Genomic DNA, 18902 nt, shown 5'->3' on the forward strand with positions numbered 1-18902 from the left:
CCAAGTCCCTTGTTGAAAAGCTGGCATTACTCACAGGCTTTTCCTCTAATTCACACCTAGAGACCTCTTCATCACATTATTTGGCAAAAGGGGAGGAGGTTTTGGAGAACAGATGCTACCAGGAAGTTCTGAATAGGATAGGGGTGTTTGCTGCTTCAGCAAGGTAATTAAGGTTAAGATGACAAAATGATTGGATTTTGGGGTGTATGAACCATTAAAAAATTACAGTTTTGGCTGTGCTGAGCTAGCATGTCCTGAACTCTGTCTAAAGGATAATTGTGTGATTATCTCAACTACTCACGGAAGTATCTTAACTACTCTGGTGTATGGGTACTTATCCATAAAATGCTGAGTTACATTTTATGGTATCTTTGTACCCCTCCCAGTTATAAAAGAGTGATTCTATTTCTGAGGCTTCCTGCTAGGAGTAGAAATAGCAGGGAATGGCTTTGTGATCTATTTCATGTTGTTCAAATTTCCTTACCCTCTGTTCTTATCTGTAAAATGGGAATTAAAGCAATTCATGGCATTCTATATTTCAAGGCTATGGAGAAGAATTAATGTACAAAAATGAGATAATTGACATGAAGCTATTTTAATATTCTGAAAATAATATATGAGTATAGAAAATTATCATCTTTGATCCCTTGTTCAGAATTTTCTAACTTAAATCTTTCTATCAGTATAGAGGACTACTTTGTACGTATAATCAAATGCTCCTCTTACAGAGGGAGATAATTTTTAAAAATTCACTCCAGTTTTAAACCAGCAGTTGACTTATGGCATATGTCTTCAATACATGTGTTTAATTTAATTAATTTTTAAAAATCTTTAAGGTCTGCAATAATTTCCCTGCTCTCATCGATTATCTCCCAGGAAGTCATAATAAAATAGCTGAAAATTTTGCTTACATTAAAAGTTATGTATTGGAGAGAATAAAAGAACATCAAGAATCCCTGGACATGAACAGTGCTCGGGACTTTATTGATTGTTTCCTGATCAAAATGGAACAGGTAAAATGTTATTTGTTTGCCTGCATCTTGTGGTTCATTGATTAGTTCTATAACGATTGCTTAAATAGTGAGGCAAGAAACACTTCATGAGCACTTTATGTACTTACCATGTGTATAGATCTGGATGAAGCACCATGGAGAATTTATAATTGAATTGTTAAACAATTATATGTGAGCACCATTGTTAGGTACTAAGAATTTATCTGAGAAAAGACAGAATGCATGCCTTAGATGAAAGGGAAATACAAATAAGATAGAAAATGCAAAATATAGCATCATAAATTGAAGGTGGACATGGTCATATCACACAGCATATGGGAGAGTGAGGTGAAAGGGTTTAACCTAAGTGGGCCTCCTGCATGTCCTGATGTTTGGTGTAAATGTTAAAATATTTACAATGAATAACGGGGCAGTCAATTTTTTGGTGTGCAGAACAGTGTGATGACAGGTTCAGAGGTGTGTGGTGGCAAAGAGATGGAAAAGGGAGGCCTTAACTGAATGGAACCAAAAGTAAATCCGGACAAATATGGAATTGGAGGTGTCTGTAAGCTGCAGACCTGAATGCTGGCATGGAGAGTTTTGATGTGATCAGGTATATGTGTGAGCCCTAACAAGAGTGGGATGCGTATAATTATTAGAGAAAATAATCCTAGGAATTGTGTAGAAGGATATGTACAATGAGAATGGAGGTCAAAAACTTGCTACAAGACATTTCATATATTTGAAGTTCAGCTTGCTGAAAGTGTGGGCTACAGAAACAGATTCTGAAATAAAATCAAGTTGTCCATTTTGTCATATTGCCAAAAATCTATGGATATTAGTTTCAGTTAGAGGATCAGATAGGAGCCAAATGATAGGACCTGTGTGGGAAATTTCAGTAATGAGAGCAGACATTCTCTTTGATAACTTTAACTGAGGAGGGAAAGATTCAGATGGTGAATTTGAATAGTGGTAGGGTCAATATGGAAACTGTGAGGAAGGTAATATAGATGCTTCAGGACACTAAGGTGCAAAGTACTCTTTGAACTGAGAAGAGGCCCAATCCAGAACAAACTGAAAAGAGTTAACTCTAGAGAATAAAATCTTTCCTCTGAAGCCACCATTATTTTATTCAACCGCTTTACAGCACTAGGTGGAAATGCAGAATCAGTCAGTAGGTGAAAATGGGACAGAGTCAAAGATGCTGATGAAGGTGACTTCCATGAAATTGCCCATGGAATGTTAGCAGGACTGCTCGAATAATGTGTTCTAGATGGAGTGAAGTGAAGAAGATGAGATACTTTGAGGAAACTGGAGAAGGGAAGAAACAAATTATTTGTACTCTCCACCTTCTCTACTGCTAGGTCAATTGTTCTGAGGTCTAATTAATTTAAGAATCTCATTAAAATATGGACACTGCCAGAAAAATGACACTATATGAGTTCTCCATTTTTGTACACATTTAGGGGGGTTTCCTTAATGCTATGAATTGTCTCCATTAATTCCAGGTTAAGGAGAATTGTAAGGTCTATGGTGTTTCAGTGACCAGTGGCTATGTCCTCATTACTATATTTAAAAAGTGCATTGTTCCTTTGACCTCACTATAATATTTAGAATCTAGCTTATTTTATTTTTCACAGCATTTTTATTGAGTTTAATTCACATATTGTACCCTCATACATTTTAAATACAATTCAACAGTTTTAGTATTTTTCACAGAGCTGTGCAGCCACCACCACAACCAATTTCAGAACATTTCCATCATCCTGAAAAGACAACCATATGCTTAACAGTCACCCTGTATTGGGGTGGCTCTAGTCAACACTAATATACTGTCTGTCTCTATAGGTTTGCTATTGTAGACATTTCATGTAAATGAAATTACACAGTATGTGGTCTTTGTTTGTCTGACTTCTGTCACTTAGCACAATGTTTTCAAGGTTCATTGACATAGCATGTATCAGTACCTCATTCCTTTATGTGGTCAAATAATATTTGGGTGTGGCTATATCATATTTTATATTTCCATTCATTAGTTGTTGGTTTTGATTGTTTCTGTTTTGGCTGTTATGAATAATGCTGGTATGGACATTTGTGTACAAGTTTTTGTGTATAGATAAGTTTTTATTTCTCTTGGGTATATACTTGGCTGCAGAATTGCTGGATTATACAGCAACTGTATGCTTAATCTTTGGAGAAACCGTGGCTGGATCAAAGACCTAAATGTAAGAGCTAAAAATATAAAACTCTCAGAAGAAAACCTAGGCATGAAATTTGCTGCACCATTTCGTATTCTCACTACAATGTTTTGAGGATTCCACTTTCTCCACAACCTTGCTAATGTTTCTTATCTTTTTGATTCCAGCCATCCCAGTGGGGTTGAGGTGGTTCCATGTGGTTTGGTTTGCATTTTCCTGACATCAAATAATTTTCTCTTGTGCTTACTGGTCATTTGTGTATCTCTTTGGATAAAAGTATATTCAGACCTTTTGTCCGTTTTTAAATTAGGTTATTATATTTTTAAAATTATTGAGATGGAAAAGTTTTTATATATTCTAGATAAAAGTCCCATATCAGATGTTATTAAAGATATTTTCTCCCATTTTGTCAAGTGTCTTTCACTTTCTTAACAGTGTCTTTTGAAATACAAGTTTTTAGTTTTTGTGAAATCCAATTTATTTATTTATTTGCATGGTTTCTTGCAATTTTTTTGTCACGTTTAAGAAATGATTTCTTAGTCCAATATCACAAAGATTCACCCCAAGTTTTCTTCAAATGGTTTTATAATTTTAACTATTACATTTAGGTCTAAGATCCACTCTGAGTCAATTTTTGATTATAGTGTGAGGTATGGGTACAACTTCATTCTTTGCATGTGCATTCAGTTGTCCTAGTACCATTTGTTGAAAAGACTATTCATTCCCCATTGAGTGATCGTGGTACATTTGTTGAAATTCAGTTGACTACAAACACGAGGATTTATTTTTAGACTCTAAATTCTATTTCATTGATCTATATAGCTTTCTTTATGCCAGTATGACAGTACTTTTTTTTTTTGAGACAGGGTCTCGCTCTGGTTGCCTAGGCTATAGTGCAATGGTGTGATCTTGGCCTCTACCTCCCGGGCTCAGGTGATTCTCCCACCTCAGCCTCCTGAATAGCTGGGATTACAGGCATGTGCCACTATGGCCAGATAATTTATTGTATTTTTAGCAGAGACAGCCTTTCGCTATTTTGCACAGGCTGGCCTCCAACTGCTGGCCTCAAGCAGTCCACCCACCCTGGCCTCCCAGATTGCTGGGATCACAGGAGTGAACCACGCACCTGGGTGATGGTAGCTTTTATGTAAGTTTTGAAATTGGAAAGTGTCAGTTCTCCAGTTTTGTTCTTTCCCAAGATTGTTTTGGTTCTTAGCTATTTTGGTTGTGTAGAGTTCCCCATGAATTTTATGGTAATCTTGTCCATTTCTATTAAAAAGGTAACAGATATTTTGATATGGATCACTTTGAATCTGTAGATCAATTTGGGAAGTAATGCCATTTTAACGATATTAAGTCTTCCAATAGATGAACATGGGATGTCTTTCCATTTATTTAGATCTTCTTTAATTTCTTTCAACAATGTTTTGTGTCAGCTAGCTTAATTTTGATAGGCTATTTGTACATAACCACTGATTTTTCAAATTCACTTAAACAGAAGGAAATATTAGTATTGGTTTATAAGTGCTCTACTCTCCTTCCTGGCTTTGGTGTAATTTTGAGTTGATAAGCTTAGAAAACTGTGTTAAGTTGATGTTACCAATGGGCATGATGACCTTTGTCTAGCAAGTACATCTGTTGAGAGGACTAGGTTTGTCTTACTGTGGTTGATTACATAATATTAGGCATGCCACAGGTCACATGGAGATTATAACAGCCTTATTAAATTAATGCTGTTCTAGAGGATTGAATAGGAAGAAATCTTTTTTTGTATGTTAATTACTCCCTATAGTCAATAATTTAGACTGTCCCATTGTTATGGTCAATTTTGTGTTACATATTTCCCTCATCTTAAACCAGCCTTAGTTGCCTTGTGAAGTGCTTTGTTCTTCCACTCTCCATTTTATTATTAATGGCATAAACTGCAATTACTTTTTCACCAACTGAATATAAGAACTCAGTTCATTCAGTCCCTTGTCCTAAGCATCTCCATTGCCCTTACTCTCTCCTTCATCCTGTATAGGTGGTTAATGTCCAAACTCTCTGTCTTCATGTCTGTAGTGTCTCTTCAATTTCTATATTCTTATTCATTCCTGTGCTTGTTTACTAGATCAAGTTGACTATTACCTCACATCTGGAATATAATAATGGCTGGCCCCATCTTGTCTTGTCAATCTGTTCTCTTTCTCCATAATCTTGGATATGTTACCATGTTATCTTTTGCACATTTCCGAGTTCATAATGAGTCTGCAGGCAATATTGAGTGTGACTAAATTCTTTTTTTTTTCTCAGACAGAGTCTTACTCTGTCACCCAGGCTGGAATGCATTGGCATGATTGTGGCTCACTTTAGCTCGACCTTCTGGACTCAAGTGATCCTCCCACCTCAGCCTCCCCAGTAGTTGGGACTGCAGGTGCACATCACCATGCCCAGATAATTAAAAATTTGTTTTTATAGAGATAGGGTCTCACTGTGTTTGCCCAGGCTGGAGTGGACCTCCTGAACTCAAGTATTCCTCCTGCCTCAGCTTCCGACAGTGCTGGGATTTAAGGCATGAGCCACTGTGCCCAGTCTAAATTACCTATAATTCCTTATACAATGTAAATGCCATGTAAGTGGTTGTTATACTGTATTTTTTAGGGAATAATGACAAGAAAAAGAAGTCTGTACATGTCCAATATGAACACTTTTTTTTTTCTGAATTTTATTCTTTTTTGTTTTAGAGGCAGAATCTTGCCCCATTGCCCAGGCTGTTGTGAAGTGGTATGACCATAGCTCACTGCAGCCTTGAACTCCTGGGCTCAAGCAATTCTTCCACCTCAGCCTCCTAAGTATATGGGACAACAGGTGCATGCCACCATGCCCAACTAATTTTTTTTTTTTTTTTTTTTGTAGAGATAGGGTCTTTCCAGGTTGCCTAGGCTAGTCTTGAACTTCTGGGCTCAAGCGATCCTCCCATCTTGGCCTCCCAAAGTGCTGGGATTACAGGCATGAGCCACCTCACCTGGCCTCTTTTTCCAATTTTTTTTTTTTTTTATTTAAGGTTGGTTGAATCAATGGATGTGGAATCCATGGATAGGAAGGTGGATTGTACTCTATTATTAGCTATATTCAACTGGCTGTGCAATTTATTATTTTTTAAAAAAGAGATCAGATTTACTCCTCCATTCTAACAGGCTTTATACCCTTTGACTATCATCTCCCCCTTTCCCCCCGCCCCCAAGCCCTCTGGCAATCAGCATTCTACTCTCTTCTATGAGTTCGGTTGTTTTAGATTCCACATATAAGTGAGAATATATAGTATTTGTTTTCCTGTTCCTGACCTGACTTTACTTAGCATAATGTTCTCCAGTTCCATCCCTGTTATCACAAATAACAGAATTTCTTCATTTTTAAGGCTGAATAGTATTCTATTGTGTATATATACCACATTTTCTTTATCCATTTATCTGTTGATGGGCACTTAGGCTGATTCTATATATTAGCTATTGGGAATAGTGCTGCAATTTACATGGGAGTGCAGACATTGCTTTGACATACTGATTTCAAATCTTTTGAGTAAATGCCCATAAGCCGAATCACTGGATCATGTTGTAATTCTATTTTTAGTTTTTTGAGGAACCTTTTACTGTTTTCCATAATGGTTGCACTAACTTACATTCCCATCAACAGTACACAAGTGTTCCCCTTTTTCCACATCTTCACCAACACTTGTTTTTTCTCTCTTTGATAATAGCCATTCTAACAGATGTGAGGTGATAGCTCATTGTGTTTTTAATTTGTAACTTTTTAATGATTAGTGTTGTTAAGCATCTTTTTATGTATCTCTTAATCATTTGTATGTCTTCTTTTTAGAAATATTCATTCAGGCTATTTGCCCATTTCTTAATTGGATTATTTGTTTTCTTTCTATAGAGTTGTTTAAGTTCCACATATATGTGCATGCATGTCTGTGTGTATATAGTTTTTAATTTTAATTTTAATTTTAAAAGAAGTATAGAAATTTAATATGTTTTTCTTCCAATGTTATTTTTTCTCATATTTTTTTCTTTTTTTAATTATACTTTAAGTTCTAGGGTACATGTGCACAATGTGCAGGTTTGTTACATATGTATACATGTGCCATGTAGGTGTGCTGCACCCATTAACTCATCATTTACATTAGGTATATCTCTTAATGCTATCCCTCCCCGCTCCCCCCACCCCACAATAGTCCCCCGTGTGTGATGTTCCCCTTCCTGTGTCCATGTGTTCTCATTGTTCAAATCCCACCTATGAGTGAGAACATGCGGTGTTTGGTTTTTTGTCTTTGTGATAGTTTGCTGAGAATGATGGCTTCCAGCTTCATCCATGTCCCTACAAGGGATACGAACTCATCCTTTTTTATGGCTGCATATATTCCATGGTGTATATGTGCCACATTTTCTTAATCCAGTCTATCACTGATGGACATTTGGGTTGGTTCCAAGTCTTTGTTATTGTGAATAATGCCACAATAAACATACGTGTGCATGTGTCTTTATGGCAGCATGATTTATAATCCTTTGGGTATATACCCAGTAATGGGATGGCTGGGTCCAATGATATTTCTAGTTCTAGATCCTTGAGGAATTGCCACACTGTCTTCCACAGTGGTTGAACTAGTTTAAAGTCCCACCAACAGTGTGTAAAAGTGTTCCTATTTCTCCACATCCTCTCCAGCACCTGTTTCCTGACTTTTTAATGATCGCCATTCTAACTGGTGTGAGATGGTATCTCATTGTGGTTTTGATTTGCATTTCTCTGATGACCAGTGATGATGAACATTTTTTCATGTGTCTGTTGGCTGCATAAATGTCTTCTTTTGAGAAGTGTCTGTTCATATACTTCACCCACTTTGTGATGGGGTTGTTTTTTTTCTTGTAAATTTGTTTGAGTTCTTTGTAGATTCTGGATATTAGCCCTTTGTCAGATGAGTAGATTGCAAAAATTTTCTCTCATTCTTTAGGTTGCCTATTCACTCTGATGGTAGTTTCTTTTGCTGTGCAGAAGCTCTTTAGTTTAATTAGATCCCATTTGTCAATTTTGTCTTTTGTTGCCATTGCTTTTGGTGTTTTAGACATGAAGTCCTTGCCCATGCCTATGTCCTGAATGGTATTGCCTAGGTTTTCTTCTAGGGTTTTTATGGTTTTAGATCTGACATTTATGTCTTTAATCCATGTTGAATTAATTTTTGTATAAGATGTAAGGAAGGGATCCAGTTTCAGCTTTCTACATATGGCTAGCCAGTTTTCCCAGTACCATTTATTAAATAGGGAATCCTTTCCTCATTTCTTGTTTTTGTCAGGTTTGTCAAAGATCAGATGGTTGTAGATGTGCGGTATTATTTCTGATGGCTCTGTTCTGTTCCATTGGTCTATATCTCTGTGTCAGTACCAGTACCATGCTGTTTTGGTTACTGTAGCCTTGTAGTATAGTTTGAAGTCAGGTAGCATGATGCCTCCAGCTTTGTTCTTTTGACTCAGGATTGACTTGGCAATGTGGGCTCTTTTTTGGTTCCATATGAACTTTAAAGTAGTTTTTTCCAATTCTGTGAAGAAAGTCATTGGTAGCTTGATGGGGATGGCATTGAATCTATAAATTACCTTGGGAAGTATGGCCATTTTCACAAAATTGTTTCTTCCTATCCGTAAGCATGGAATGTTCTTCCATTTGTTTGTGTCCTCTTTTATTTCATTGAGCAGTGGTTTGTAGTTCTTCTTGAAGAGGTCCTTCATATCCCTTGGAAGTTGGATTCCTGGGTATTTTATTCTCTTTGAAGCAATTGTGAATGGGAGTTCACTCATGATTTGGCACTCTGTTTGTCTGTTATTGGTGTATAAGAATACTTGTGATTTTTGCACACTTATTTTGTATCCTGAGACTTTGCTGAAGTTTCTTATCAGCTTTTTGGAGATTTTGGGCTGAGGCAATGGGGTTTTCTAAATATACAATCATGTCATCTACAAACAGGAACAATTTGACTTCCTCTTTTCCTAATTGAATACCCTTTATTTCTTTCTCCTGCCTGATTACTCTGGCCAGAACTTCCAACAGTATGTTGAATAGAAGTGGTGAGAGAGGGCATCCCTGTCTTGTGCCAGTTTTCAAAGGGAATGCTTCCAGTTTGTGCCCATTCAGTATGATATTGGCTTTGGGTTTGTCATAAATAGCTCTTATTATTTTGAGATGTGTCCCATCAATACCGAATTTATTGAGAGTTTTTAGCATGAAGGTTTTTGAATTTTGTCAAAGGCCTTTTCTGCATGTAGTATTGAGATAATCATGTGGTTTTTGTCTTTGGTTCTGTTTATATGCTGGATTACATTTATTGATTTGCATATATTGAACCAGCCTTGCATCCCAGGGATGAAGCCAACTTGATCATGGTAGATAAGCTTTTTAATGTGCTGCTGGAATCAGTTTGTCAGTATTTTATTGAGGATTTTTGTATCGATGTGCATCAGGAATTTTGGTCTAAAATTCTCTTTTTCTGTTGTGTCTCTGTCAGGCTTTGGTATTACGATGATGCTGGCCTCATCAAATGCATTAGGGAGGATTCCCTCTTTTTCTATTGATTGGAATAGTTTCAGAAGGAATGGTACCACCTCCTCCTTGTACCTCTGGTAGAATTTGGCTGTGAATCCATCTGGTCCTGGACTTTTTTTTTGTTGGTAGGCTCTTAATTATTGCCTGAATTTCAGAGCCTGTGATTGGTCTATTCAGGGATTCAGCTTCTTCCTGGTTTAGTCTTGGGAGAGTGTATGTGTCGAGAAATTTATCCATTTCTTCTAGATTTTCTAATTTATTTGCGTAGAGGTGTTTATAGTATGCTCTGATGGTAGTTTGCATTTCTGTGGGATCAGTGGTGATATCCCCTTTAACATTTTTTATTGCATCTATTTGATTTTTCTCTCTTTTCTTCTTTATTAGTCTTGCTAGTGGTCTATCAATTTTGTTGATCTTTTCAAAAAACCAGCTCCTGGATTCATTGATTTTTTGAAGGGTTTTTGTGTCTCTATCTCCTTCAGTTCTGCTCTGATCTTAGTTATTTCTTGCCTTCTGCTAGCTTTTGAATGGGTTTGCTCTTGCTTCTCTAGTTCTTTTAATTGTGATGTTAGGGTGTCAATTTTAGATCTTTCCTCCTTTCTCTTGTGGGCATTTAGTGCTATACATTTCCCTCTACACACTGCTTTAAATGTGTCCCAGAGATTCTGGTATGTTGTGTCTTTGTTCTCATTGGTTTCAAGAACATCTTTATTTCTGCCTTCATTTCATTATGTACCCAGTAGTCATTCAGGAGCAGGTTGTTCAGTTTGCATGTAATTGAGTGGTTTTGGGTGAGTTTCTTAATTGTAGTTCTAGTTTGATTGTACTGTGGTCTGAGAGACAGTTTGTTATAATTTCTGTTTTTTTACATTTGCTGAGGAGTGCTTTAATTCCAACTATGTGGTCAGTTTTGGAATACGTGCGATATGGTGCTGAGAAGAATGTAAATTCTGTTGATTTGGGGTGGAGAGTTCTGTAGATGTCTATTAGATCTGCTTGGTGCAGAGCTGAGTTCAATTCCTGGATATCCTTGTTAACTTTCTGTCTCCTTGATCTGTCTAATGTTGACAGTGGGGTGTTAAAGTCTCCCATTATTGTTGTGTAGGAGTCTAATTATCTTCGTAGGTCTCTAAGGACTTGCTTTATGAATCTGGGTGCTCCTGTATTGGGTGCATATATATTTAGGATAGTTAGCTCTTCTTGTTGAATTGATCCCTTTACCATTATGTAATGGCCTTGTTTGTGTCTTTCGATCTTTGTTGGTTTAAAGTCTGTTTTATCAGAGACTAGGATTGCAACCCCTGCCTTTTTTTGTTTTCCATTTGCTTGGTAGATCTTCCTCCTTCCCTTTATTTTGAGTCTGTGTGTGTCTCTGTATGTGAGACAGGTCTCCTGAATACAGCACACTGAGGAGTCTTGACTCTTTATCCAGTTTGCTAGTCTGTGTCTTTTAATCAGTGCATTTAGTCCATTTATATTTAAGGTTAATATTGTTATGTGTGAATTTCATCCTGTCATTATGATGTTAGCTGGTTATTTTGCTCATTAGTTTATGCAGTTTCTTCCTAGCATCAATGGTCTTTACAATTTAGCATGTTTTTGCAGTGGCTGGTAGCGGTTTTTGCTTTCCATGTTTAGTGCTTCCTTCTGGTGCTCTTGTAGGGCAGGCATGGTGGTGACAAAATCTCTCAGGGTTTGCTTGTCTGTAAAGGATTTTATTTCTCCTTCACTTATGAAGTTTAGTTTGGCTGGATATGAAATTCTGGGTTGAAAATTCTTTTCTTTAAGAATGTTGAATATCGGCCCCCACTCTCTTCTGGCTTGTATTGCCCAGATCAATGTCCTGTAGTTTTTCCTCAATCTTGTCTTCTAGTAGTTTACAGTATCTGGTGTTATGTTTAAGTCTTTAATCCATGTTGAGTTGCTTGAGTATATGGTGTGAGATCAGTGTTCAATTTTATTCTTTAGCATTTGGATATCCAGTTTTCTCACCATTTATTTAAGAGACTGTCCCCTTTCCATTGCATATTCTTGGTACCTTTGTCTAAAATCAATTGTAGTTGCATGGGTTCTTTTCCAGCTCTCTGTTATATTCTGTTGGTTGATGTGTCCATTTTTATGCCAGTACCATGCTGTTTTAATTACTATTAATTTGTAGTATAGCTTGAAATCAGGTAATGTGATGCCTCCAGCTTTCTTCTTTCTGCTAATTATTGCCTTGGCTATTTGGGTATTTTTGTGGTTCTATATGAATTTTTTGGGGATGACTTTTCCTATTTCTAAGAGAGATAACATTGGAATTTTGATAGGGATTTCAATGAAACCATAAATTTCTTTAGATAGTATGGACATTTTAACAATATCAACTCTTCCAATCCATGCATATGGTATCTCTTTTTTATTTGTGTCTTCTTCATTTTTTTAATTAATATTTTATATTTTTTGGTGACTTTCACTTTTTTGGTTAAATGTACTCCTAAATACTTTATTTCTTTGATGCTATTGTAAATGGGTTTATTTTTAAAATTTCTTTTTCATATCATTTGTTGTTAATGTGTTGAAACACTATTAATTTTTGTGTGTTGATTTTGTATCCTGCAACTTTACTGAATTTAATTATCAGTTCTAAGAGTTTTTTGGTGATGTGTTTAAGGTTTTCTGTATGTAAGATCATGCCATCAGCAAACAGAGACAATTTTACTTCTTTTCTTCTTTGGATGTCTTTCATTTATTTTTCTTGTCTCATTGCTCTGGCTAGTACTTCTCATACTATGTTGAATTGAAGTACTGAGAGTGGGCATCCATATCTTTTTCCTGATCTTATGGGAAAATCCTTCAACTTTCCACTATTGAATATGAGGTTAGCCATGCACTTGTCATATATGGACTTGTGTTGAGGCTAGTTATTAGCTCCACTATCAGGAGCAGCAATTTGCAGGACATGCTAACAAGTCTCATCCAGGCAGAAACTTGGACTTTTGAGTTTCATCCCTTTCTCTGCCATGATCCCAGAGGATTAAACCTCTGGAAGTGCTTGTGCACTAATATAATACTGGTACTTTTTCCAGTGGTCTAGAGAGAGACTCCTGTATACTTAGTCCTCTCTGCTCCCAGAATTGGTAAGTTAAGTAGATAGCTGTGGGGAACCTTAGAGTTAGGGTGTTAATGTGTGGTCTAAATCCTCCTTTCCACAGGGAGAAGCTGGATGTTGGGGATTCATTCTCAATTGTATGGTGTAGTGCCTGGGTGAGGTTGGTGCTGTAGCTTTTTCTTCCCAGTCTATGTGGATATTTTCTTTGTTGCTCAGTACATAGAAGTCTCTCAACTTGTTTCTGACTTTCTCTCACAGGGAATTGATCTGTGAATAGATATTTATTTGGTGTATCCTTGGGTGGAAGAAGAGACTGGAGCCTCCTATTCTGCAATGTCCCTATTGTGACACTGAGAATTGCAAACCCTTGATTCTTGCTTATAATGTATTTATGTCTCTAATTTACTTATTTCTATTTCTATCAATTAAGATTGTATATATACAAATAAGAAAAAAAATTAACATGGCTTAAACAAATAATGTGTTTATTTATTTCACATACAGGGTGTCATGTTGGGCAGTGCAGAACTAGTACTGTAGCTCTGAAGCATCCTAGAACTAGGTGCCTGCCATTTTTGATCCCCACGCTTACAACATGAACCTTCATCTTGATTATTTTTTTTTTTGAGACAGGATCTCTCTTTGTCATCCAAGCTGGAGTGCAGTGGCATGAACATGCTTCACTGCAGCCTTGACCTCCTGGGCTCATGTGTTTCTCTGTGTCAGCCTCCCATGTAGCTGGGACCACAGATATGTGCAATTCACCTGGTTAATTTTTTGATTTTTATTTTTTTTTTTGAGAGGAGTTTCACTCTGTCACCCAGGATAGAGTGCAGTGGTGTGATCTCGGCTCACTGCAACCTCCGTCTCCTGGGTTCAAGTGATTCTTATGCCTCAGCCTTCCGAGTAGCTGAGATTACAGGCGCATGCCATCACGCCCGGCTAATTTTTGTGTTTTTAGTAGAGATGAGATTTCACCATGTTGCCCAGGCTGGTCTCGAACTCCTGACCTCAGGTGACTGCCTGTCTTGGCCTCCCAAAGTGCTGGGATTACAGGCATGTGCCACCATGCCTGGCCAAGTTTTTGATTTTTTTTTTAGAGACAGGGGGTCTCACTTGTTGCCCAGGCTGGTGTCAAACTCCAGAACTCAAGTGATCCTCCTGCCTTGGCATCCCAAAGTGTTGGGATTACAGGCATGAGCCACCACAGATGGACTTGTTATATTCTTAAATATTCATGTTCCAAGGTGATATCTATATCACCTCTACCTTCATATATGTGTTTTGAGTAAAAAGGAGAGAAAGTGCCATCAACAGGTACCTGCTTATATGTCATAGACAAGAAATATGTTTCATGGCCAACACAGCTCCAAAAGATATTCAGAAATAGAATTTTTAGGCAAGCAATGGATAAGTAGGAATGGGAAATGAACTATTTTACATTCTCTGCCACACCGTGCAATTGTTGTAGTTTTAATACTGCACTCTGTACAGTTTCCAAACTTCCTTATCTTTAGAACAACCTGATATATTTTGGATTTTTTGTAATTTAATATGCTGGCAAACTACCAAATAATTAAATTATGAAATAATTTTTTAGGAAAAGCACAATCAACAGTCTGAATTTACTGTTGAAAGCTTGATAGCCACTGTAACTGATATGTTTGGGGCTGGAACAGAGACAACGAGCACCACTCTGAGATATGGACTCCTGCTCCTGCTGAAGTACCCAGAGGTCACAGGTATGATGATACCATAGGTGAGCAGGGTGATTTTCAGAAAAGATGTTGGGAAGACACTGCTATTGTCCTCAATCTTGTTTCTCTTAGAGAAGCTTCATTATTGAAATTTCTGTGCCATTGGCTCTAAGTTGTCTAAATATGATGAAGGGATAAGAATGAGACAAATTTGCACAATAGGGAAGAGGGACTGAGAGAGGTGAAGACAGTGTGATCAGTAGCAAAAGTAATAAAGCCCTGGATTTTAGTGACTAAATACTTTTAATAAAGTGTCTAGATTTCATGGGAGACGATTTGTAGCAGGCACAGGCATGATGAATTGGCCTAGGATTGTATGTTGGTTTTCTAAAGAACAGACCACTTTGTTGCAGTTTCTTTTTTGAAATGAGTAGAAATTTTATTTCACTAAAAGCCATGTCTACAAAATTCCATTTTCCAGCAGAACAGACCACTTTGAGTAATAGATATGCTCTTTCTTTCTTTCTTTCTTTTTTTTTGAGACAGAGTCTCACTGTGTCACCCAGGCTGGAGTGCAGTGGTGCAATCTTGGCTCACTGCAACCTCCGCCTCCCGGGTTCAAGTGATTCTCCTGCCTCAGCCTCCTGAGTAGCTGGGATTACAGGTGTACCCACCACACCTGGCTAATTATTTTGTATTTTTAGTAGAGACGGGGTTTCACCATGTTGGTCAGGCTAGGCTCAAACTCCTGATCTCAAATGATCTGCCCACCTTGGCCTCCCAAAGTTCTTGGATTACAGGCATATGCCACTGTGCCCAGCCAGGTATGCTTCTATAGATCTTCCCTTATTCTGAAAATGTAGTGTTTTAATGCTGGGACAGTAAAGACAGAAACTCTTTTTATTTTTAATTTTTATTATTGGCAATTCTTTTGTGGTTGGTTTGATGCCATTTTTTAATGTTTTGGTAAATTTCTATTTTTATAGACTTAGGGGTACAAGTGCAATTGTGTTCATGAATATATTCCCTAGTGGTGAAGTCTGGGCTTTCAGTGTACCCTTCACCTGAATAGTGTACATTGTTCCCAATAGGTAGCATTTCATCCCTCACCTCCCTCCCACCTTTCCACCTTTTGGACTCTCCAGTGTCTATTATTCCACTCTGTATGTCTCTGTGTACCCATTGTTTAGCTCCCATTTATAAGTGAGAACATGTGGTTTTTGACTTTCTATTTTGAGCATTTGCACTTAGGATAATGGCTTCTAGTTCCATCCATGTTGCCACAAAAGACACGATTTCGTTCTTTTACATGGCTGAGTAGTAGTGCATGGTGTGTGTGTGTGTGTGACACACCATAGAATACTAGATGCAGATTTTTAAATCCCACACATAACAATTTTAATCCATTCATCTGTTGATGGATGCTTGGGTTGATTTTATGAATTTGCCTTGGTGAATAGTGCTGCAGTAAACATATGAATGCAGATGTCTTTTCGATAAAATGATTTCTTTTATTTTGGATAGATACCCAGTAGTGGGATTGCTGGATCAAAGGGTAGTTCTATTTTTGATTCTTTGGGAAATACTATTTATTGAAGTGTATAGTGGATATTCTAGAAATGTCATGAGATAGCCTGAGAAAATCTGTATAGTCTGGGAAGTATTTTAAACACTTAGGTGTATAATAAAGGTGTATGATATTTAAGCAGAAAATGTGCCTGAGGAATTTTATGATTATCAAAATCTGCATCTAGAAAAATGGTACTTGTCAATATTTTTTCTTAGGGTCAATAGTTTTATCTTTTACAAGCAACTTTTTTTTTTCTTCAACTTTTATATTTATCTATGAGCAGATTCTGGCTCTGCATAACATATTAGCCACACACTTGTTTTTCTGGGGTCAGAATCACACTGAAGTGATGATAAACATATTACAAATGAGAATTACTCCTGTTAAAGTTGGAGTATAACCATCAAGTCTTTAACAAACTTCTCAGACACAGAGAGCAGATAGAAGGATGATAACCAATTTGGCAGAGAGATTGAAGTTGCAACCTAAGGGTCATAAGAATTTCTGTTGCTATAGTCCCCATAAGGCTGAGTATTCAAAAGAACCAAGACCCAAAGAACATAGAGGGAGAATGAGGCAGAAAACAGAAAATTCTCCCTGCCTAGTTTCCCTCCACAACTCCATTTGTCAACTAATTGTTTTTCTCCACAGAAAAGGGAGGTTCACTCTCTAGAGAAACTGAACCTAAGAGGCTCACTCATGGACAACAGACAGAGACTGGGAAAGAGTGAGGGGTTAAGTAAGAGTCCACTTGAATTCTAAGGCCTTTAGCGCCTTTTTCTATCTTGTTCCTAAAATACAGCAGCCAGGTGTAAACTCCAGAGGACAAGTAGCACCAGTGGAAAGACCTCCATTTTTCACCATTTAGATAGAAAATTCTTACCAAATGTCCAGCAAAGTGAATGAAATGGAAAATATTCATCCAAGACACCAGACCATGGGGAATTTTAGAACATCAGAGTTAAAGGGAAAGTCATAAAAACATTCAGAGATAAATTAGGTCACCTGTGAAGGATCAGGAATCAGAATGGCATTAGAATTCTCAAGAGCAGCTGTCATCTTGTGTATTTGTAGATAAAGAATATTTTCAGATCTGCATTTGGCAAAAAATTTTTGCCCTTTGTGTTTATTTTCTTAGAAAGATACTAGAGAATATTTTCCATCCAAATGTCTGAAACCAATTCAGGGGAAATCATGGGCTGCAGGGATCAGGAGATCTCATGTAGGAGGATGGAAGTGTCAGGGAGGCTGCTGGATACCAGGTCTAGAAAACAAATGCTTTAGAATGGACCAGGTGGATCATGGAGGTGTGAGGGAAGACATTAAGGGCAAAGAAAAGTTGATTGATTATTTGATTATTTTTAGTGTTTAGAAAATTATTAGTAAGAGTTTGAAACATTTCTGAGCATTTGCAGTAATTCTAAATTGGCATATGAAAATTAGAATTGAAATGGACACACAAGTCCAAGAATATACAAAAAAGAGACATAATTACAGCTGTCCCACTTGTGGTCAATGTTTATGAAATAATAATGGTGTGAACATGAGTATTAATATAATAAAAATGTGATATAAATACATTGGGGAAACTAGAGTGGGGGAAGTGTGAATGTGTGTGCATGTTTCTGTTTGTGGGTGTGTGTCTATTTGTTATGGGGTGATGATGGAGATATAAGTCCTCATCTTTCTTACCATGAGGTTTTAGAAATTTTCAAAGATAAATTAAAAAATAAAAAGAGAGTCAGTATTTAGAAATATGAATATAAACTTCAGAAGAAACTTCTAGAATGTTTCAACATAGTCACCTTTGTGGAGTGTGAGGATGAGAGAGAATATCATTTCAAGTTTCAAATAAACATATGCACACAATACACAAATCCATCCATACATATAGATCTGTTAGTAGAATTAAAGTTTTAAAACATTATATGTTATTCTGATACAACATTAATTTGATTTTTTTCTTTCTTCAAGAACAGTAATTTCTTGAGTTTATAATGTACTAAATATTTATATTTTGAAGTATTTTATCATTTATATTTGTACTGATTATCTTGTATGCTAATATGTAGGTGGTTACAGATTTATCTTAATACTTAGCTTGTAGGAGAGTTGGATGTATCTATAATGTAGTAATTTCTTCCCTAAGTCTAGGTGTACTTTCAGTCCTATAAGTTTATAATGATGTTGGGACCCCTTCCTTATGCTTCTTGTAACCTGAATTGCTACAACAAATGTGCCATTTTCCTCCTTTTCCATCATTTCTTACTTGTGTCTTATCAGCTAAAGTCCAGGAAGAGATTGAATGTGTAGTTGGCAGAAACCGGAGCCCCTGTATGCAGGACAGGAGTCACATGCCCTACACAGATGCTGTGGTGCACGAGATCCAGAGATACATTGACCTCCTCCCCACCAACCTGCCCCATGCAGTGACCTGTGATGTTAAATTCAAAAACTACCTCATCCCCAAGGTAAGCTTGTTTCTCCTACACTACATCTCCATGCTCTTCAAGTCCCCAAATTCATAGTATAGTCCCAATCCTCTAACAACACATGATGAGAGAAGTGTAAAATTCATACGTGGGGCAGCTTTCTGGACTCTGCTGTTTCCATTCCAGTTTGGGCCTATGAAGGTTTATAACAGGTCTCAGTATCTAGCAGTGTATGTCTTCCAAATTTGTTCTGCTTCTTTAGTATTTTTTTTTTGTGGCTATTCTCAGGTTGTTTACATTTCCAAGTAAGTGTTGAAAGTATCATTTTGTCAATTTCCCAAAACACTGTGCTGGG

The 18902-nt window shown here is 37.1% G+C and overlaps 1 protein-coding gene across 2 annotated transcripts in view; it reads left to right on the forward strand.

The window, feature by feature from the left end:
* The window catches only part of CYP2C18 (cytochrome P450 family 2 subfamily C member 18), a 52462-nt gene that overhangs the window by 22219 nt on the left and 11341 nt on the right, over positions 1 to 18902 (forward strand). Inside the window, exons 5-7 of one of the 2 annotated variants that reach the window (NM_000772.3) lie at positions 837 to 1013; positions 14449 to 14590; positions 18399 to 18586. In NM_000772.3, coding sequence (NP_000763.1) covers positions 837 to 1013; positions 14449 to 14590; positions 18399 to 18586 — 507 coding nt within the window. The remainder of the gene's footprint in view (positions 1 to 836; positions 1014 to 14448; positions 14591 to 18398; positions 18587 to 18902) is intronic. The other variant, NM_001128925.2, reaches the window with a different exon arrangement.

This window comes from Homo sapiens, chromosome 10 (assembly GCF_000001405.40).
Source record: "Homo sapiens chromosome 10, GRCh38.p14 Primary Assembly".
NCBI lineage: Eukaryota > Metazoa > Chordata > Mammalia > Primates > Hominidae > Homo > Homo sapiens.